A 21,156-nucleotide genomic window follows, 5' to 3' on the forward strand; every position below is an offset into this window, starting at 1 on the left:
GAATGAAGTTCCATTGGTGCCTAAGTACTTAAATTGGCTGATAATTGTCTTTTAGTATCTTTTAGAAAACAAATCATTATATAATTACTTCTTACAGGACTATTTGGTTAGAGACTGGGGAAATTAAGCCATTACTAAAGAGAGACTCTATTTGTGACTGTTGAAGCTGAAGGCTCATCAAAACAATGATTTTAAAGAATTTGTTTCCAATTAGGTCCCATGTGATCTCCTGTGAATCAGAGTTCAAACTAGTAACTGTGGATCATTTTCAGATAGATTAACTCATGCTCACACCTTCTGTCTTCTGTCTCAGAAGACCCTGTCCTGTTCTACATCTAGAATTGGATATCATACCCTCAAATAGGTCTAACTTCTGGGTATAGGTTATTTCAAACTCCTTTATAAAAGGACTTTTGAGGGGAAGGTTTTTTGTTTTATTTTGCTGTTACAAATTTTGTGGGGGTGGCTAGGAGATTTAAAATTTTCGATGGAGATGATAAACAACAAAGTCTCACAAGTTCAGGCCAGGCGCGGTGGCTCATGCCTCTAATCCCAACACTTTGGGAGGCCGAGGCCGGTGGATCACGAGGTCAGGAGTTCAAGACCAGCCTGGCCAACATGGTGAAACCCAGTATCTACTAAAAATACAAAAATTAGTCAAGCGTGGTGGGGGGGCGCCTGTAATCCCAGCTACTTGGGAGGCTGAAGCAGAGAATCGCTTGAACCCGGGAGGTGGAGGTTGCAGTGAGCCGAGATTGCGCCACTGCACTCTAGACTGGGTGACAAAGCGAGACTGCATCTCAAAAAAAAAAAAATTCTCACAAGTTCAGATTAGTTGTGAGGAATAATTACAGGAAAGAATATCTAATATAGAGAACAATTAAAGTATTGAAAGTTGGCTAGAGATTATCTAATAGAGGTTTCAGTTTAATGATTAGATAAGAACAATTTTTACTTAGCATTTTAAACCTCAAACCCAGATAATTATAAGCAGAAGCTAATGTTGTTTATCTATAATACATTCTTTTAAACAGTTGTAAACGGTTGGGTATGTAACGTCGAGCATTCTCTTTCCCATTTGTGCAAATCTTTGATTTTTTTTTCTAGGAACCCCATCTTCTAAGGGATACAGTTCCATCCAGCACCTATCTAAGTTTTCTACATAATCAATGTAACTAGGACTTTAAAGTTATCATTATGTAGACATAGTAAATCAGAACAAAAATCAGTAATAGCTTTAGTTTTAAAAAATTAATCCTCAACATTGATACATTACATTATCAGATATTATTCCGCTGGTTTTCAAAGGCAAATAATTACATTTTTCCTCTTATAGAAATTTCAAACATATACAAAACTTGTATATTTTGAATATACAAAATATATACATATACAGATATACATATGTAGAATATACAGAACTAAACAGAATAATATAACAGACTTATCACCTAGCTTCAACTACTATCAATTTATGGCTAATCTTGGATCATGTATATCTTTGCTCTCTCTTCCTCTTTCTCCATAGGTTAAGGCAAATCCTCAACATAGCATTTCATCTGTAGATGTTTCAGTGTGTGTTCTTTAAAGATAACAAACATAAACATGACACCACTATCACACCCAAAATCAATCATAATTTATAGTACATTAGAGGTACCAGGGACTGGAGCGAGGAAGAAAGGAGAGTAACTGTTTAATAGCTCCAGGGTTTCTGTTTGAGATGAAAACATCTTGGAAACAGTAGTGATAGTCGCACAACATTGTTGTCATGAATACCTCTGAATTGTACTCGTAGAAATGGCTAAAATGGCTTTTTCTGTTCTATATATTTACCACAATAAAATCATTTTTTAAAAAAAGATAGATGAAGGTGATAGAACTGGATGGATAGCTTATTTGGTATCATCAGCTCCCAGGAAACCTGACAGCCATTTCAAGATGGTAGAATTTCCTTAACCTATCACCTTTTTATTAAAGGGGAAGGAGAAGGAAATGTGAGCAGTATTTTTCCCCTTGACTTTGTCAGACCACATAAATCATCATCTGTTCATGTCTATGGCCACTGAAGGCTAACAACACTGGGTGATGGCTCACGTCTGTATAGCACTTGGCAGTTTACATACAATGTTTAATTGGATCTTGAGATGATTATTCATTGTGTCTAACTGGATTTCATACAGGTCTGCTTTTTGGTTTCCAGGTCTGATAGAAGTCTGGATAATCCTGCTGGAGCAGCTGACAGCGGCTGTGTCCAATTGTCCACGGCAGCACCAACCACCAACTCTGGATTTACTCTTTGAGCTGTTGAGAGATGTGACGAAAACACCAGGTAAATATTTCTGTGTCCGTCTTTTGGGGGAGTGGTTATACATGTAACTCTTTTCAAGAGGGTATTTCTGCAGGTGTCTGCCTGTTTTCACTGTTTCCTAGACTTAGTACAAAGCTCACACGTAAGAGGTGCTCAATAAATGTTTGTTGAATGGTAGTGATGCTTAAGGTATGGCCTGTGTATTGTTTACATGTCTTCCTAGAAGTCTGGTTACAAGTATCGTGTGGTGGCCAGTTAGTTGGATGTGTAGGAGCTCCACATTAATCAGACCAAGGCTATGGTATCAGCGTCTCCAAGAACCATTTGGCTTTGCTATTTCCATGGTCACAGCCTTCCTTTGTGGCAGGATCTCACAGTCACATGCTCTTGGCCCTTGGGCTGTTGGTTGGGCTTACTGGGTCTTCCAGTAATATAAACCACTTTCAGCTATATGCGGTATTAAGGCAGCAACACCCCGTTTGTGTAAGGGTCATAGGTGATTAGATTTGGAAAAAGACATATAGTCCTTGCCTAGTACAAGGACCCTGAGAGTATGAGAAAAGAATGACTTTTAGGAATTTATTTCTTGTTGTGAATTAATCAATTTTAGTATATACATTTATACATGCCAATTTCTCAAGATCAAAGAAACTTTTTTAATAGAAATTTAAGTATTTTACTAACAATCAGACCCTAAATGAAGCCACTTTCTTACTAAGAGGAGGTCTGTACTCATTATAATGAAGACTTGATAATTGATACCGTTTCAAAATCTATAGCAAAGTTTATATTATTTTTTAAAAAACACCATAGATACTGCCACGTTAAAAAGTTAAAAGCCTTCCATCAAAGAATAAGTAGGTATTTTATAGAATTGCAAACCACTATTTCTAAATCTGTTTTACTCATCAGTACCATTTTCTGCTTTCACATTGATTGCCACTAAATGTGTGTGAAGAGCATTTAATCCACTTTTGTTCCTAGGAGCCTGTCATCTAAGGAAATTATCAATAATAAAGACAAAATTGTATATATAAGATGTTTGCTGAAACATCTTGAATACCAAAAATTATGAACACCCTAAATGGGAAGCAGTTAATTGTGGTAAAAGCATGTAAATATTCTGCAGGCGTTAAAATTAATATTTGTGAATAATATTTAATGACGTGAATAATTACTTACAAAGCATTATGTTAAAATGCACATACTATGGAGTGCAATCTCAACTATATGAAATTTTATGCAATTATAAATACAAACACACATGCATTCCAAAAGTCCTAAAAGGAAATACATCAAAATGTGATTATCTCTAGATGAGTTTTTTCTTGTATTCTCATGTAATTTCCATGTTTATTATAAAATGGATGCTTTGCTTTTGTAATCATAACTTCAAAAACTCATCAACATTTCCACAATGTTGAACAAAGAAGCACAATGATTTTCATTATAGCATAGTCTATAAAACAAAAAAATTAGAAACACCTTAAATATTCATCAGTAAGGAAATGGATAAGTAAACTGCTGTACGTAAATACAATAGAAATAGTATGTGGCAATAAAAATGAGGAATATGCAAATTTGCTGACAAAGAATAATCTCACACTTTTGGGGTTTTCTGCGAAATGGAGGTCTTGCCAGGCTGGAGCAAGTGGTGTGATCATAGCTCACTGCAGTCTCAAATTCCTGGGCTCAAGCGATCCTTCCACCTCAGCCTCCCAAGTTGCCGAGGCTACCAGCACTCCACAATGCCCAGCTAATTTTTTTTTTTTTTTTTGAGAAGGGATTTCACAATGTCGCCCAAGCTAGTCTTAAACTACTGGGCTTAATTAAGCAATCCTCACGCCTCAGCCTGCAGAGTAGGTGAGATTACAGGTGTACACTACTGTGGCCAGCTCTAACAAACACTATTGTTAAGTTAAAAAAAAAAAAAAATGAGTATGCAGACCGAAGTTTACATTATCTCCTTTATATAAAATATTTCCCCATGTAGTTAGATTTCATAAATGTATGATTTCAAAGGGTATTTTCTTATACACACATGTGTATTTGTGTGTTTACATTTAGGTCCTAGGAGTTGAGCAGGTGATATTTTAGCTTTACCAGCAATATTTGAATGTTTTAGGAGTATATTCACATATTGCTCACATAACTAAAACCCCGCAGAAAAAAAAAGGAAAAATGCCACTGAAGACCATATATTCCCCCATCAGCAGTAAATTATTTTTCCCTGCACTTTCTCAGCAAATGTAGGGATCCTTCCAAAGAGATCAACAATGCCAGGTGGAGGCAAAGAGCTTCCCTTTTATTACAGGTTGTTGCTACGCTGACTTTTCTTTTTCAGGACCAGGGTTTGGTATCTATGCAGTGGTTCACCTCCTCCTTCCTGTGATGTCCGTTTGGCTCCGCCGGAGCCATAAAGACCATTCCTACTGGGATATGGCCTCTGCCAATTTCAAGCACGCTATTGGTCTGTCCTGTGAGCTGGTGGTGGAGCACATTCAAAGCTTTCTACATTCAGGTATCTGAAGTGCCAGAGCAGTTCATTCTGGGTATTTCTTTGGTAGACAGCACCGTCAGCTAAAACGGTGTAGTAAATACCTAATGCAAATACGAATGCAGGGTTTTTGTCCTGGGAATTATTAAAATAGAACAACATGGTCAGTGCCAGCCTTCTAATAGATTTTCAAAGAGAAAATTCATACCCATGTGTCTTCTACAAAATTTTCAAACCGAATGCTCAAAATATATGTGTGGTAGAAAATAAAATACCTAATAAGAGGTCTGGGGTACCTGTGCATTAGGAGAAGGGAGGCGAATTCAAGTATATAAAAAAGAAAAAAAGAAGAAGCAGCAATATCCCCGTAGCCTGTGGGGGGGTAGCGGGTATAGCCTGTCACCCTGCTTCATCTGGGGAGGCTAAATGGAGGAGGCAGGGTTTTAGAAAAGGCTTCCATTGTGGGCAAGAAGTAGCTTAACAGGCTAGGGATGAAGAGAAATTTCTTAATATTGATGGCACTTTGTAAAGGCTGTGAAAGTGTGGGATGGACAGTATGCTGAAGTCAGCAGATGGAGAGGGACCTAGAGGCAGGGGATGTGTTCACTGTGGTCCCAGTGGAGCCACATGTGTGAAGATGTGGGTGTCCGGGAGCAGAAGAAACATTGCTGCTACCCACAGAGCTTATAACTCGAAGGACTGGCATATCATGGTGTAAGGGAAGAGGTTCCCTTGCTGGAGAGGACAGAGAAACTAAGGAGGATGTTGACCCCAGGGGAGACTAACAAAGCTAATAAAAGAAACTGTGTCTCTATTAAGTTTAGCAAGGACAATTTACCCTGCCAAAAAAGAACACCAATTGTGAAAGAAAACAAGTGAGTTTTTCCACATGTAGGTGGTAACTGGTAACCATATCCCTAAGGGTAGCCACATGTTCCTGGCTGGGTCATTGCTTTGCACAGTGTGAGACTGTGATACTGCAACACATAAAAGTGAACTGCATATTTCATTTTTATTTCTGTAGAAGTGGATGAAACATGCTGAAATTGGGTAAAAATCCAAGAAAATTATTGTTTTACTGGGTTTTGGCGGGGGGGGGCAGGAGGAGGATATGGCCATTTTTCTCATTGTTCTATTTCTTTTTCCCAGATATTTGCTTATCATTCAGACTTTCCTCTGTTGCTATAGATGGCCATTTCAATCTACCCCTTTACACTAGAGCTGTGTGAAACTGTGATTTTGCTGTTTCCCATAGATATCAGGTACGAGAGCATGATCAATACCATGCTGAAGGACCTCTTTGAGTTGCTGGTCGCCTGTGTGGCCAAGCCCACTGAAACCATCTCCAGAGTGGGCTGCTCCTGTATTAGGTGAGGAAATGCTTTCCTGACTCTCCACAAAGCTGGAGTTTTTATTTAAAAATCTAAAGAAATTAAATTGTCTTTGTGGTAGGAATCGACTTTTTGGATTGCTTTCTGTAAGTAGACTTTTGTAATTAAAAATGACTGTGCTAATAATTCTTCATTTCAGTGTTCAGTCAGCAAATGTGTATTGTATAAGACATTATACAAAGTATTCTGGTTCAGTTTCTCAAAGACATACAGAAGGCAAACAGGTATATGAAAAGGTGCTCAGCATCAGTGATCATAAGAGAAACGCAAATTGAATGTACAATGAGATATCATCTCATCCCACCTAAAATAGCTTATCCAAAAGACAGGTAATAACAAATGCTGGAGAGGATGTGGAGAAAAGGGAACCCTCGTACACTGTTGGTGGGAATGTAAATTAGTACAACCACTATGGAGAACAGTTTGGAGGCTCTTCAAACTAAAAATAGAGGTATCATACAATCAGCAATCCCATTGCTGGGTATATACTCCAAAGAAGGAAAATAATTATATCAAAGAGATAGCTGTACTCCCATGTTCACAATAGTCAAAATTTGGAAGCAACCTAATAAGTATCAGTATTAGTCCATTTTCATGCTGCTGATAAAGACACACCCAAGACTGGGAAGAAAAAGAGCTTTAATGGACTTACAGTTCCACGTGGCTGGGGAGGCCTCACAATCATGGCGGAAGGCAAGGAGGAGCAAGTCACATCTTAATGGATGGTGGCAGGCAAAGAGAGAGCTTGCTCAGGGCCACAGGGTACCCAGACATTTGGCCAAACATTATTGTGGGTGTGTCTCTGGGGGTGTTTCTGGATGAGAAGAACATTTGAATTGGTGGAGATAGCAGAGCAGATGGCCCTCCCTAATGTGGGTGGGCCTCGTCCAATCAGTTGAAGACCTGAATAGAACAAAAAGGCCAAGTAAGAGGGTACTTTGCCTGCCTGACTGTTTGAGCTGGAACATCAATCTTCTCCTGCCCCTGGACTGTACTTACATCTCCCCGTTCTCAGGCTTTCAGACTTGGACTGCAACTATACGACTGGCTCAAGGAGAACTCATTATAACCATCAGATCTCATGAGACTTATTCACTATAACAGCATGGGAAAGACCCGGCCCGATGATTCAGTTACCTCTCACGGGGTCCCTCCCACAACACATGGGAATTCAAGATGAGATTTGGGGAGGGACACAGCCAAACTGTATCAGTGTCCATCAACAGATGAATGCATAAAGGAAATGTGGTACATACACAAAATGGAGTACTATTCAGCCATAAAAAATAATGGGATTCTCAGCACTTTGGGAGGCCGAGGCAGGCAGATCACAAGGTCAGGAGTTCGAGACTAGCCTGGCCAATATGATGAAACCCTGTCTCTACTAAAAATACAAAAATTAGCCGGGTGTGGTGGCGGGCGCCTGTAGTCCCAGCTACTCAGGAGGCTGAGGCAGGAGAATTGCTTGAACCCGGGAGGCAGAGGTTGCAGTAAGACGAGATGGCACCACTGCACTCCAGCCTGGGCAACAGAGCAAGATTCAGTCTCAAAAAAAGAAAAAAAAAAAAAAAGGGATTCTGTCATTTACAACAACATAGAGGGAACTGGAGGTTATTATGCTAAGTGAAATAAGCCAGGCACATGGGAGGGCGGGTCACATGAAAAATGGTGACAGTGAAGCAAGGACCTCGTTGTAGCAGTGACACTGGTCACATCCTCCAAGGTGGACAGGCATGGGGGAGGTGGGGACTTTCCAAGCAGAAGAACAAAATAGCATTGAGATAAGAGTTTGGGGTTTGGTTTTGCTTGTAGAGGAGTGATGGAAAATGGAACTAGAATCCAAAAATCACTACAGAATATATGCAGTCTTGCATACAAGTCTACGTTTAATGATTGGCCTATTTGTAGAGGGGATCCGTTGATATTTCTATATTAAAATGGTTTAGGAAGTAGTATTTTGACAATGGAATACTGGATGGTTGAGAGACAAGGAGACTTGGCAGGGAGCTGCAGAATAAACCTGTGCATGAGCCCATATGGCCTAAATTTTGTGGCAACAAAATGGAATTCAAGACTCCTTTGTGGCCGGGCGCGGTGTCCCACACCTATAATATCAGCACGTTGGGAGGCCGAGGTGGGTAGATCACCTGAGGATGGGAGTTCGAGGCCAGCCTGACCAACATGGAGAAACCCCATCTCTACTAAAAATACAAAATTAGCCAGGCATGGAGGCGCATGCCTGTAATCCCAGCTACTCGGGAGGCTGAGGCAGGAGAATTGCTTGAACCCGGGAGATGGAGGTTGCAGTGAGCCAAGATCATGCCAGTGCACTCCAGGCTGGGCAACAAGAGCAAAACTCCATCTGAAAAAAACAAACAACAACAACAACAAAAAAAAAACTCCTTTACTTGTTTCTTTTGGCAGATACGTCCTTGTGACAGCGGGCCCTGTGTTCACTGAGGAGATGTGGAGGCTTGCCTGCTGTGCCCTGCAAGATGCGTTCTCTGCCACACTCAAGCCAGTGAAGGTACATCACTGGGAGGAAGCCCTCCCTGGCACAGTTCTAACCATCTTTAGCTCCTGATCCCTTACCATGTTGGGCACATGGGTTCTGCCTCCTCTGAGCAGGCAGTCTCACTTTAGATCTTGCAGAGAGTGAGAAAGAAGTTGCTGGGTCAGTACTTTTGTCTCAGACACAGTGACGATCTCAGATCCAAGACTGAGCCCGGCCCATGAACCAGGATGCATTCAGTGAGCATCTGCTGTTTCTCCCCAGGACCTGCTGGGCTGCTTCCACAGCGGCACGGAGAGCTTCAGCGGGGAAGGCTGCCAGGTGCGAGTGGCGGCCCCGTCCTCCTCCCCAAGTGCCGAGGCCGAGTACTGGCGCATCCGAGCCATGGCCCAGCAGGTAAGGGCAGGGGCTTTTGATCTCAGGAGCTCTAGAAACTCGAAGTGCATGTTGGGAGACCTTCCTTGAAGGTCTCGCATCACCAAATTGCCTTTCATTCCCTGAGGGACATACACCTTGTAGCTCCCAACTCTTGCCACTACCATTCTTTGCCAGAAATGACATGAACCCAATCAACAGCATTACCTCCTGTCCATCATCTCATTTGTTGCATCCTCCAGTGCCCAGATCAAATAGAACCCTTTCAGCAGCCTCGCCACTGTCCTTTATAGGTAACTTGCTTGAGCTACCTGTAAGTATTTGCTTAACTGTTATTGTTACTGCTAGACTATGAGTGCCTAACAATGGCAAACTTATTTGGGCTTTTTTCTTATATCTTTCATTCACAACACAGAACTTAACATTTAAAAGTTGCTTAATAAATTTGAGTTGAATGTAACATTAAAATTCAAGTGTATTCACTCATGCAGGAATCATCATATACCAATGGCTTTTCCTTCTTGAGACACGTGTAAGAAGTCACAAAATTTGGTTGTCAGCTCCTGAGGAGCAGAGAACACATTCTGTATATTTACCTTGGTATTTTTAGAGCAAAGCCTAGAGAAGATGCTTAGTATGTCTTTGTTGAATCAATAGGTTACTGAATCACAGAAATATCAGAAGAATATAGTAGTATCACGAGCTACAGATATACCCTAAGCTCTTAAGTGACATGGCAGTCTGCCGCTAGGAAACCCTGGACGTGACTCTCAGCAGCAGTCCTGCTAAATGCCATCCCCGAATTCACATATATTCATAACCATGCTGTTCACAGTAGTGAAAAAGGGAAATGGAATAAATTTCCAATAACCATTGACTGGCTAAATATTCCATCATGTAATAGCAACAGACATGCCTGAATTGGGTCTTCATATGAAGAAACTATTTTGCATATGCCTATGTATGTGTATGCATGGTATGTATTTAAAATATTAAACAAGTTTTATGAATGTAATTGAACTGTCACATTTGAGTTAAATTTGAAGAAATGAGTTGGAGGTTATACTCAAAAGGGAAGGCCCCTTTTCTCTACCAGATCTGTTTAAATTCTTAATAAAATTTTCTATTAGCACACTGATAATCTAGGATCCCCTGATTACCCATGTAAAGAACTCAGTCAGTTGAGAAGTTTCTTAGCCAGGTCTGGCTTCTTTGGGGCTTTTCCCAGCTGTCCTGAGGTAGTGGGACAAGAACCTTCTACCTTCAGTTTCTCACATCTCTGCTGAACACATGCCTGACATCTGGGACTTCATGATTCTGCTGGTTCTGAAGGAAGGGAGCACATCCCACTGAAGCCTCCGTGGCCAGTCTGAAGAAGTTGGGACAGAAGAAAGGTTGTAAGGCCGCAATGAAGAGCCACTTCTAGCAGCATGGCAGTTGGAGCTGCTGCAGCAATGGTGTAGCTAGAAGTGAGAACAGAGAAACCAAGAAAGTGGCCCTCCAAAGGGATAGCTTCTGTAAATATGCAGTTGTTACGTCTGGCTAAAGCATTTGCACGTGTGCACACAGTGGTCTCTGCAACCCTGTCCAATCATACAACAAAAATATGAAAAAGTCAATGGGATCTTCTGAAATAGATCATCAATGGAGAAGAACAGCAAGAGCTGTTTAGTGAATCTTTCACTTCTTTTTCTGTTTTTCTGTTGTTTTTGTTGTTGTTGTTGTTTGTTTGTTTTTTCTTTTTTGAGACTTGCTCTATCAATCACCCAGGCTGGAGTGCAGGGTGTGATCTCGGCTCACAGCAACCTCTACCTCCAGGTTCAAGTGATTCTCCTGCCTCAGCCTCCTGAGTAGCTGGGATTACAGGTGTGCACCACCACACCCAGCTAATTTTTGCATTTTTAGCAGAGACGGAGTTTCGCCATGTTGGCCAGGCTGGTCTCAAACTCCAGACCTCAAGTCATCCACCCACCTCAGCCTCCCAAAGTGCTGGGATTACAGGCATGAGCCACTGCACCTGGCCCATCTTTCACTTCTTAATACTTCTCTATTTCTTCCTCAATCCCAAATTTTCCTTATGTATTCACTCTTAAAATAACTCATTATTCAAAAATCTGATAATTCTTACAAGATTTTGAAAGAAAATATTTTTAAAGTATTCTAGTCTTGCCGGGCATGGTGGCTCATGCCTGTAATCCCAGCACTTTGGGCAGCCAAGGCAGGAGGATTGCTTGAGCCCAGGAGTGCAAGACCAGCCTAGGCAATACCATAAGACTCCATCTCTTAAATTTACAAGGAGAAAACAACTCCATTAAAAAGTGGGTAAAGGACTTGAACAGACACTTCTCAAAAGAAGACATACATGCGGCCAACATATGAAAAAAGCTCAACATCACTGCATTAGAGAAATGCAAATCAAAACCACCATGAGATACCATCTCACTCAGAATGGCTATTAGTAAAAAGTCAAAAAACAATAGGTGCTGGTGAGGTCGTAGAGAAAAAGTAACGCTTTTATACTGTTGGCGGGAGTATAAATTAGTTTAACCATTGTGGAAGACAGTGTGGTGATTCCTCAAAGACCCAGAGGCAGAAATATCATTTGACCCAGCAATCCCATTACTGGGCATATACCCAAAGGAATATAAATCATTCTCTTATAAAGATACATGCACATGTATGTTCACTGCAGAACTATTTACAATAACAAATACATGGAATCAACCCCAATGCCCATAAATGATAAACTGGATAAAGAAAATGTGGTGCACGGAATACTATGCAGTCATAAAAAGGAATGAGATCATGTCCTTTGCAGGAACCTGGATGGAGTTGGAGGCCATTATCCTCAGCAAACTAACGCAGGGACAGAAAACCAAACACTGCATGTTCTCACTTATAAGTGGGAGCTGATTGATGAGAATGCATGGACACATGGCAAAGAACAACACACACTGGGCACCTGTGGGGAACGGGGGAGGGAGAGCATGAGAGCATCAGCAAGAACAGCTAATGCATGCTAGGCTTAATACCTGGGTGATGGGATGACTTGTGCAGTAAGCCACCATGACACATGTTTACCTATGTAAGAAACCTGTACATCCTGCACATGGACCCCAAACTTAAAACTTGAAAAAGAAAGGAAAAAATTTTTAAAAATAGCTGGGCATAGTGGTGCACACCTGTGGTCCCAGCTACTCAGCTACTCGAGGGTTTAAGGTGGGAGGATCACTCGAGCCTGGGACGTTGAGGCTGCAGTGAGCCATGATCATACCACTGCACTCCAGCCTGGACAACAGAGTGAGACCCTGTTTCAAAAAATATATATATTCTAATATTTCCAGAGGAAAGTAGTGAAAGTATTTTAAGTCATGTAAAAGAAAATCATTTGGGTCAGAGATCCAGTAAGTGCTCACTATTTTCTTAGTCACATCTGCCATGCCTAGTAGAACACTGTGGCCCTATCAGTAACCATCAGTAATCCTGACAGAAGTCCCAACTCCTTTTTCATCCCTGTGTTGAATATGATACCAAAGACTCAAAAATCAGAGATAATCTTTTACAAAGCCCCTCTTTATTTACTTGTAGTTAATATTAAGTGTCAATACCTGCTATTTGGGGTATAATGAATTGTCACATGGTAGAACTAGTAGCATTGCTGGTATTAGTGTCAACGGCTAACCCTGATTATTTACTCCTCTGTTCTAATGCTTTGCATATGTAATACACACATATCAATTAACTCTCTCAACAAACATATCAAATAGGAAACCATTATCCTCATTTTATAGATGAGGCTCAACTTGCCCAGGGTCATCCAGCTGATCCCTGACAGGTCAAGCAGAGGACACTGGAGTTCTGAAATGTACCTTTGCACCCCCATACAGGTGTTTATGCTGGACACCCAGTGCTCACCAAAGACACCAAACAACTTTGACCACGCTCAGTCCTGCCAGCTCATTATTGAGCTGCCTCCTGATGAAAAACCAAATGGACACACCAAGAAAAGGTAAGTACCTAAATCTCAACTCATAGGGTGCTTATAAATAAGAATGTTCATTCACTTCCAGTTCTCACACATTGTAATCTGAGCTTTGGCCAGAAATACTGAAAACATTTGTGGAGTCATTTAGCAAAGGTTTTCATAAAAACTGTTAGCCTTGTAACCAAATTACCCACATTTCATACATATTAGGTTATCCGGGCTGCCACAGAAAGTACCACAGACTGGGTGACTCAAACAGCAGAACCATATATCCCACATTTCTGGTGCCTAGAAGTCAGATATGAAGGTTTCCTCCGAGGTCTATCTCCTTGACCTGTAGATGACCATTTTCTTCCTGTGTCTTAACATGGACTTCCTCTGTACAGGTCTATGTCTCAATTTCCTCCTCTTATAGAGACACCAGTCATATTTAATTAAAACTAACCCTCACGACCTCATTTTGACTTAATTACCTCTTAAAAGACCTCTTCTCCAAATATAGTCACATTCTGAGGTACCAGGGGTTAGGACTTCAACATAGGAATTTGGGGGAACACAGCCCAACCCATGATGTCATACACTTATAATCTTAAAAAAAAATAGGCCAGGCATGGTTGTTCACAACTGTAATCCCAGAACCGCAGGAGGATCACTTAAGCTCAGAAGTTTGAGACTAGTCTGAGTAACATAGTAAGAGCCATCTCTACAAAAAAGTAAAAAAATAAAAATTTAGCCAAGCATGATGGCGCATGCCTGTAGTCCCAGCTACTCAGGAAGCTGAGGTGGGAGGATCACTTGAGCCCAGGAGGCCAAGGCTGTAGGGGGCCACGATTATGCCACTGCACTCCAGCCTGGGCAACAGAACAAAACCTTGCCTAATTTAAAAAAATAAAAAGTAAATTGAGGCATGGTTCTGATTGTTTCAGTGGGAAGCACATAAACCTCCCCAGGAACAATGATGGCTATTGGGAGACAAAAAGGTCTATGCTCTGCCCCAAGAAACTTGCCCTTTTTAAACACTATCATCCTCCCTTAAAAATATGGTTCCTAGACTTGAAGATGAAGGCAATGACCAACATTTCCCACTTTTAAACTTCTGACACGTTAATAGTAATACCAAGTATTTGAGCACTGTATATGAAACACAGTGGATAGGTATTCCTACTCCCATTTCACCCCTGAGGGCACATACAGAGAGGCTTGGGTCCTTTGCCCAAGGACACACAACTGCAAAGAGGTGGAGTCAGAATCAAAACTGGCTCTGGGCTGGGCGCAATGGCTCATACCTATAATCCGAGCACTTTAGGACCCAAGGCAGACAGATCACCTGAGGTCAGGAGTTTCAGACCAGCCTGGCCAACATGGTGAAACCCCGTCTCTGCTAAAAATACAAAAATTAGCCAGGCATGATGGCATGCACCTGTAGTCCCAGCTACTCAGGAGACTGAGGCAGGAGAATCGCTTGAACCCAGAAGGCGGAGGCTGCAGTGAGCTGAGATCACGCCACTGCACTCCAGCCTGGGTGATAGAGTGAGACTCTGTCTCAAAAACCAAACAAACAAAAAAACAAACTGGGTTTGGTTGAACATAAGGCCTCTGCCCTTTCCCATTTCAAGGACAGAGTTGCTGCAGTGGACAGAATGTGTCCCCCCACATTGATGTGGTTACGCCTATCCCCCAATGTGATGTTAGGTGGCTTTCATGCACGTCTGTGTGAAGAGACCACCAAACAGGCTTTGTGTGAGCAACAAGGCTGTTTATTTCACCTGGGTGCAGGCGGGCTGAGTCAGAAAAGAGAGTCAGCGAAGGGAGATAGGGGTGGGGCCGTTTTATAGGATTTGGGTAGGTAAAGGAAAAAGGGGGGTTGTTCTCTGGCAGGCAGGAGTGGGGGTCACAAGGTGCTCAGTAGGGGAGCTTTTGAGCCAGGATGAGCCAGGAGAAGGAATTTCACAAGATAATGTCATAGTTAAGGCAGGAACAGGCCATTTTCACTTCTTTTGTGGTGGAATGTCATCAGTTAAGGCAGGAACCAGCCATCTGGATGTGTACGTGCAGGTCACAGGGGACATGATGGCTTAGCTTGGGCTCAGAGGCCTGACAGTGGCACCTTCAGGAGGAAATTTGGTCATGAGGGTGGAGCCCTCATGAATGGGAATCATGCCCTTAAGAGACAGCTCCCTTGCCCTCTTTCTGCCGTGTGAGGATTCATGGAGAAGATGGTCACCTGTATTCTGGAAGAGGGCCTTCACCAGGTCTGATCTCAGGCATCCAACCTCTAGAACTATAGGAATCCAATTTCTGTTGTTTGTAAGCCACCCAGTCTATGGTATTTGTTAACGGCAGCCCAAACAAAGATAATTGGTATCGTTTCACAACCTCTGGGTGATTTGTCCAAAGTTAGCTGGGCCAGGCGTGCTGGCTCATGCCTGTAATCCCAGCTACTCAGGAGGCTGAGGCAGGAGAATCGCTTGAACCCAGGAGGCAGAGGTTGCAGTGAGCCGAGATCACGCCACTGCACTCCAGCCTGGATGGCAGAGCAAGATTTCATCTCAAAAAACCAACAAACAAAAAGTTTGCCAGGTTAGCAGGTCAGTTTGATTAATATAACAATCAATCATTTGGGTGAAATTTCTAGGTAATAATTTTTGGGGTCAATTATTGGTACATACCAAAAAAATGTGGAATGTTCAAAAGTTATGAAGCAGGAATAAAAAGTAAATGTGAACCTGTCACCCAACTTCAGGAATAGAACTCTACCAATTCTAGCCCGTTTCCCTCAACCACCAGTCACTAATTTTGAAGTGTTGGCCATTTTTAATCTATTTTATATACCAAAGATTGTGCAATCCTTTGACATCTTTAAGCATTGATTTACTTCAGAATTTCAGTTCTTTTCTTCCTTTTTTCCTATTTCTAATTCACATTCAGCCAATTATTCTTGCTGAAATATTTTTGATTTAAAAGTAGGAAAAAGGAATAATAGGCTGCATTCAAGTTATAAATAAAACATAGAACAGCCTAATGTCCTTATGTTATTGGTTTTAAAAGGTTACAGTTTAAAAATATACCAGCATGGCTCATAAATTTACTTAGCACTTTTAATAGGCAATTACCCACTCACTGCAGTTAAGCAAAACAAAATAAGCATATTAAATTCTTTCACCAATCCCACTGCCCACTGAGTCAAAGACATTCCTTAACATTCTTTAAGAGCTCTTAGCCAAAATCTGTATGCTTTGCATTCTTAGATTTGACTCTTATTTGCAGGGGCAATTCTTAGTTTAGCATAGGATGTAGTGGAAGATGAGTTAGACCTGTGGAAAATTATATGCTAGCCAGGTCCATCCTTTAGATGTAATCCTAAAACCAGATTACAGCATTTAAATAGAGAAACCTGGGTTGGTTTGTTTGGGTTTGTTTTAATAGCCTTGACATTGATAGCCCCAAGCTTTACTCAATCCACATAATCTTAATTAGCATTTTAAGATATATATTAGCATGTTTTAAGTCAACCACTTGTTATGCAATTAACTCTCAATTATCCAGTCTGGAGGCTGGCTTTCCTTTGCCCTTAAGCAGCAGGAGGATGGCAGACTTCTTAAAGGTGTGCTCAGAAAAAGCTTGAAACCCTTGGGTATGCTGAATTAGAAAGTTATTTGTTGATTTTGTTTGAGATCTGTGTCTCCTGTCAGCGTAGATGATTAAGAATTGCATATCTATAAAATTGTTTCACTTATCTTTCTGAAACTTTGATCTCTTCAGTATCATTTCCCTCCCATTCTGTTTTCTTGTCACTGCGCCCTTTAACCCACACCTAAGGTAAAGGGAATTTGCTGTCCTTTTTTACATGCATGGTTAACAGCTGTATCTCTCAAAGCATCCAAAAAATGATCTCGGTGGATGAAGATATTCCACAATTCAGACATGGCTTTGCATTGGCCTGACTTTAGGTGTTGGCTGGAAAATGGCTTTCCATTTCTCAGGGAAGGTAATAAAAAACAGTGTTGTGAGCGAAGGGTTTCATGCCTTCACCAGACTGATTAAACTCACCCCTCTGGTGGTGCTTCCTGCCAAGGATCCAGAATCCTAGGGGAGTGGGGTTCAAATGTCAGAACCATTTCTCAGGGGGAGCATTTCCTTCAGGCAGCCTGCAGTCAGAGCCAGCCTGCTTTCTTTCTTCCACTTGGAGACTTACTGAATGCTACTCTCACCATTTTCTTTCTTTCTTCCACTTGGAGACTTACTGAATGCTACTCTCACCATTTTCCTGGTTACTGGGGACAAGAAGATGAATAAGGTAGTGTCCTGTCCCTTGAGGATGTTATAGCTATCAGGGGGACAGACTTGTTTGATCAGTAAAAAATTTCCCTTTTTAGTATGCATCCTGTGGTAGCTTTTGGGCCAAGTTGTTATAAGCTTTTGGAGTCCTCTTTTTCAGAAGAGTGTGTATTCAGGTTTACTGGTAGCTTAAGTAGGAGCTGGGGCTGGGAAAATGGAGAGTTGTTGTTTAATGGGTACCAAGTAAGTTTCTGTTAAAAATTATGAGAAAGTTTTAGCAATAGATAGCAGTGATGGTTACACAACATTATGAATATACTTAATATCACTGAATTGTGTACATCAAAAAGTTAAAGTAGTAACTTTTATGTATATTTTACCACAAAAAAAGTTAAAGCGATTTATTTTAAAAGGTTACTGTTTTCGAATGACAGTCCTTTGTTACTCATTTCATCTTGAGAGTAATGTGTTTTCCCTCAGTGAGGACTACACAAAGGGCAAAGTTAACATTGAGATTTATGCAGGATTTGTCATTTTCTGTTAGAAAAGCACTTTTTCCTACTTACACAAATTTTTACATTCAAAGTCATAGACATAAAGCAAAATGTTATTAACATCATGGCTAGAACTTTGAAATTAATAACGGTTGTCATAATTTTATAATTATCCAGTTTGGGGCATTAATTGGCCATATAATGGCCACAACTATTTTCATAAAATTATAAGAGCAGTGAAAAGAAATGAAACTGTAAACCAAAACCACATTGGCAAATTAAAAAGTTTGGCAAACATAGTACAGGTTGAGCATCCCTAACCCCAACTTTTTGAGTGCCAACAGGACACTACAAATGGAAAATTCCACATCTGACCTCATGTGATGGGTCATAATAGGAAAACCCAAAATATATTCTGTGTCCCCAAGGGCAAAAAGACTTCCCAGCCCCCTTCAACTGTGATATCTTTTGATGTCACAGTTAACTCTCTGATATCTGTGATATCTTGACAACTATTAATTTGGCATAATAACTTATATTCTATAGCTTTGGGAATTTTTTTTCTTTTTGAGACAGAGTCTTGCTCTGTTGCCCAGGCTGGAGTGCAGTGGCGCGATTTCAGCTCACTGCAAGCTCCACCTCCCGGGTTCATGCCATTCTCCTGCTTCAGCCTCCCTAGTAAGCTGGGACTACAGGTGCCCGCCACCATGCCCGGCTAATTTTTTGTATTTTTAGTAGAGACGGGGTTTCACCATGTTAGCCAGGATGGTCTCGATCTCCTGACCTCGTGATCCGCCCACCTCGGCCTTCCAAAGTGCTGGGATTACAGGCTTGAGCCACCGCGCTCGGCCCAGCTTCAGGAATTTTTTTAAGTGTCAAGAACTCCACTAGTTGTGATTAAAATGGTTATCACACAGTGCCCAAAAAGTATGCCTTCTTTCATGGAAGACATTTGAGTAGAGGTAGTTTAGTTTGTAAATTTGCATAGATCGTTCTGAAACGGGTAACGTCTATATTGCTTTGAGACACCTGATATAGGGCAGAAAACCATTAATCGAGCCCTCTCTTTTCACTTGAAGCGTGTCTTTCAGGGAAATTGTGGTGAGCCTGCTGTCTCATCAGGTGTTACTCCAGAACTTATATGACATCTTGTTAGAAGAGTTTGTCAAAGGCCCCTCTCCTGGAGAGGAAAAGACGATACAAGTGCCAGAAGCCAAGCTGGCTGGCTTCCTCAGATACATCTCTATGCAGAACTTGGCAGTCATATTCGACCTGCTGCTGGACTCTTATAGGACTGCCAGGGAGTTTGACACCAGCCCCGGGCTGAAGTGCCTGCTGAAGAAAGTGTCTGGCATCGGGGGCGCCGCCAACCTCTACCGCCAGTCTGCGATGAGCTTTAACATTTATTTCCACGCCCTGGTGTGTGCTGTTCTCACCAATCAAGAAACCATCACGGCCGAGCAAGTGAAGAAGGTCCTTTTTGAGGACGACGAGAGAAGCACGGATTCTTCCCAGCAGTGTTCATCTGAGGATGAAGACATCTTTGAGGAAACCGCCCAGGTCAGCCCCCCGAGAGGCAAGGAGAAGAGACAGTGGCGGGCACGGATGCCCTTGCTCAGCGTCCAGCCTGTCAGCAACGCAGATTGGGTGTGGCTGGTCAAGAGGCTGCACAAGCTGTGCATGGAACTGTGCAACAACTACATCCAGATGCACTTGGACCTGGAGAACTGTATGGAGGAGCCTCCCATCTTCAAGGGCGACCCGTTCTTCATCCTGCCCTCCTTCCAGTCCGAGTCATCCACCCCATCCACCGGGGGCTTCTCTGGGAAAGAAACCCCTTCCGAGGATGACAGAAGCCAGTCCCGGGAGCACATGGGCGAGTCCCTGAGCCTGAAGGCCGGTGGTGGGGACCTGCTGCTGCCCCCCAGCCCCAAAGTGGAGAAGAAGGATCCCAGCCGGAAGAAGGAGTGGTGGGAGAATGCGGGGAACAAAATCTACACCATGGCAGCCGACAAGACCATTTCAAAGTTGATGACCGAATACAAAAAGAGGAAACAGCAGCACAACCTGTCCGCGTTCCCCAAAGAGGTCAAAGTGGAGAAGAAAGGAGAGCCACTGGGTCCCAGGGGCCAGGACTCCCCGCTGCTTCAGCGTCCCCAGCACTTGATGGACCAAGGGCAAATGCGGCATTCCTTCAGCGCAGGCCCCGAGCTGCTGCGACAGGACAAGAGGCCCCGCTCAGGCTCCACCGGGAGCTCCCTCAGTGTCTCGGTGAGAGACGCAGAAGCACAGATCCAGGTACATCCCTGTGGCCACAGCAGGTGGGCGGGAGGCTGGGTTTCCAGTACTGGATGGGCCCCCCCTTGCAGAGCAGGCATACACAGGCTAAGATTTATAGAAACAGGTAGGGGGTATGAACCGATTTCCCTCCAAAGTCAGAGGACTGCCTGAACCTAAGTGCAGGATCTCCCAGGATCAGTATGTCATTATGAAGCTGGAATTTTACTCTCAGGTAATTTCAGGAACTGTTTTTCTCCATAGTAATGTATATTATTGAGAATTAGGAACTTACCTGTATAAATAAGGTGAGGCTAAAGCTTATAACATGTAAGCTTTTTCAGTCTGGACAACACGGCAAAACCCATCATCTCTACAAAAAAAAAAAAAAAATTAGCTGGGAGAGGTGGCACATGCCTGTAATCCCAGCTACTTGGGAGGCTGAGCAAGGAGGATTGTGTGATCCCAGGAGGCAGAGGTTGCAGTGAGCTGAGATGGTGCCACTGCACTCCAGCTTGGATGACATAGAGAGACCCTGTCTTTAAAAACAAGTAAGCTTTGACTAGCATTGAGTTCTTAGTGTGTCATTCGAAAATGGCCCTGAAGAAATTCTGTAGTTATGAAGCATTATATAAAAGAAAAAAGCAAAGTAAATATTGTGTGGTTATGCCAATGAATTTTTTTCAAATTGTTTTCATCTCAAGTTTTTCTAGCCCATCCTGTGCACATAAAAATTCTCATTCTTCAGGGAGGCTTTGAGTGTAATTCTATGGTGCATCAAAAAATGAGTTTGAGATTAACGGCCTGTGGAGATCTCACTGTGAGAAGGCAAGGGAGGTTTGTTGTTGTTGTTGTTTTTAAATCTAAGGAATAAGTAAGAGTTTAGTAGTTTGTGAAAGCTGAAAATAAGGCGAGTCTCTGCCCATCTTTATGTATGTGAAGTTATGATGTAGGCATAATAAATTAATACGCCTACAATTTATTATAGGCATATTAAATGAGTGAAAACTAATTTATTGCAACTAAAGCCTGGAAA

General features: G+C 42.0%; 1 protein-coding gene across 3 annotated transcripts in view, besides 6 other annotated features; it reads left to right on the forward strand.

Annotated features, from left to right (window-relative positions):
* The window catches only part of ARFGEF3 (ARFGEF family member 3), a 182,725-nt gene that overhangs the window by 153,109 nt on the left and 8,460 nt on the right, over positions 1 to 21,156 (forward strand). For all 3 annotated transcript variants that reach the window (XR_001743524.2, NM_020340.5, XM_047419108.1), the window contains 7 exons: positions 2,204 to 2,332; positions 4,656 to 4,832; positions 6,064 to 6,178; positions 8,624 to 8,726; positions 8,976 to 9,107; positions 12,974 to 13,095; positions 18,923 to 20,141. Coding sequence is in view for 2 of the 3 variants with exons in the window: in NM_020340.5 (NP_065073.3) it covers positions 2,204 to 2,332; positions 4,656 to 4,832; positions 6,064 to 6,178; positions 8,624 to 8,726; positions 8,976 to 9,107; positions 12,974 to 13,095; positions 18,923 to 20,141 (1,997 nt within the window). In the remaining variant the exon portion in view is untranslated. The remainder of the gene's footprint in view (positions 1 to 2,203; positions 2,333 to 4,655; positions 4,833 to 6,063; positions 6,179 to 8,623; positions 8,727 to 8,975; positions 9,108 to 12,973; positions 13,096 to 18,922; positions 20,142 to 21,156) is intronic.
* Positions 14,133 to 15,106: an enhancer, noted in NCBI's record as "NANOG-H3K27ac-H3K4me1 hESC enhancer chr6:138650317-138651290 (GRCh37/hg19 assembly coordinates)". NCBI's record gives its function as "activates a minimal SCP1, AML or CMV promoter by ChIP-STARR-seq in primed H9 embryonic stem cells {active_cell/tissue: H9 hESC(primed)}" and the evidence as "EXISTENCE:reporter gene assay evidence [ECO:0000049][PMID:30033119]".
* Positions 15,107 to 16,080: an enhancer, noted in NCBI's record as "NANOG-H3K27ac-H3K4me1 hESC enhancer chr6:138651291-138652264 (GRCh37/hg19 assembly coordinates)". NCBI's record gives its function as "activates a minimal SCP1, AML or CMV promoter by ChIP-STARR-seq in primed H9 embryonic stem cells {active_cell/tissue: H9 hESC(primed)}" and the evidence as "EXISTENCE:reporter gene assay evidence [ECO:0000049][PMID:30033119]".
* Positions 16,131 to 16,880: an enhancer, noted in NCBI's record as "NANOG-H3K27ac hESC enhancer chr6:138652315-138653064 (GRCh37/hg19 assembly coordinates)". NCBI's record gives its function as "activates a minimal SCP1, AML or CMV promoter by ChIP-STARR-seq in primed H9 embryonic stem cells {active_cell/tissue: H9 hESC(primed)}" and the evidence as "EXISTENCE:reporter gene assay evidence [ECO:0000049][PMID:30033119]".
* Positions 16,881 to 17,628: an enhancer, noted in NCBI's record as "NANOG-H3K27ac hESC enhancer chr6:138653065-138653812 (GRCh37/hg19 assembly coordinates)". NCBI's record gives its function as "activates a minimal SCP1, AML or CMV promoter by ChIP-STARR-seq in primed H9 embryonic stem cells {active_cell/tissue: H9 hESC(primed)}" and the evidence as "EXISTENCE:reporter gene assay evidence [ECO:0000049][PMID:30033119]".
* Positions 19,333 to 19,936: an enhancer, noted in NCBI's record as "H3K4me1 hESC enhancer chr6:138655517-138656120 (GRCh37/hg19 assembly coordinates)". NCBI's record gives its function as "activates a minimal SCP1, AML or CMV promoter by ChIP-STARR-seq in naive H9 embryonic stem cells {active_cell/tissue: H9 hESC(naive)}" and the evidence as "EXISTENCE:reporter gene assay evidence [ECO:0000049][PMID:30033119]".
* Positions 19,937 to 20,538: an enhancer, noted in NCBI's record as "H3K4me1 hESC enhancer chr6:138656121-138656722 (GRCh37/hg19 assembly coordinates)". NCBI's record gives its function as "activates a minimal SCP1, AML or CMV promoter by ChIP-STARR-seq in naive H9 embryonic stem cells {active_cell/tissue: H9 hESC(naive)}" and the evidence as "EXISTENCE:reporter gene assay evidence [ECO:0000049][PMID:30033119]".

Source organism: Homo sapiens, chromosome 6, assembly GCF_000001405.40.
Source record: "Homo sapiens chromosome 6, GRCh38.p14 Primary Assembly".
NCBI classification, from domain to species: domain Eukaryota; kingdom Metazoa; phylum Chordata; class Mammalia; order Primates; family Hominidae; genus Homo; species Homo sapiens.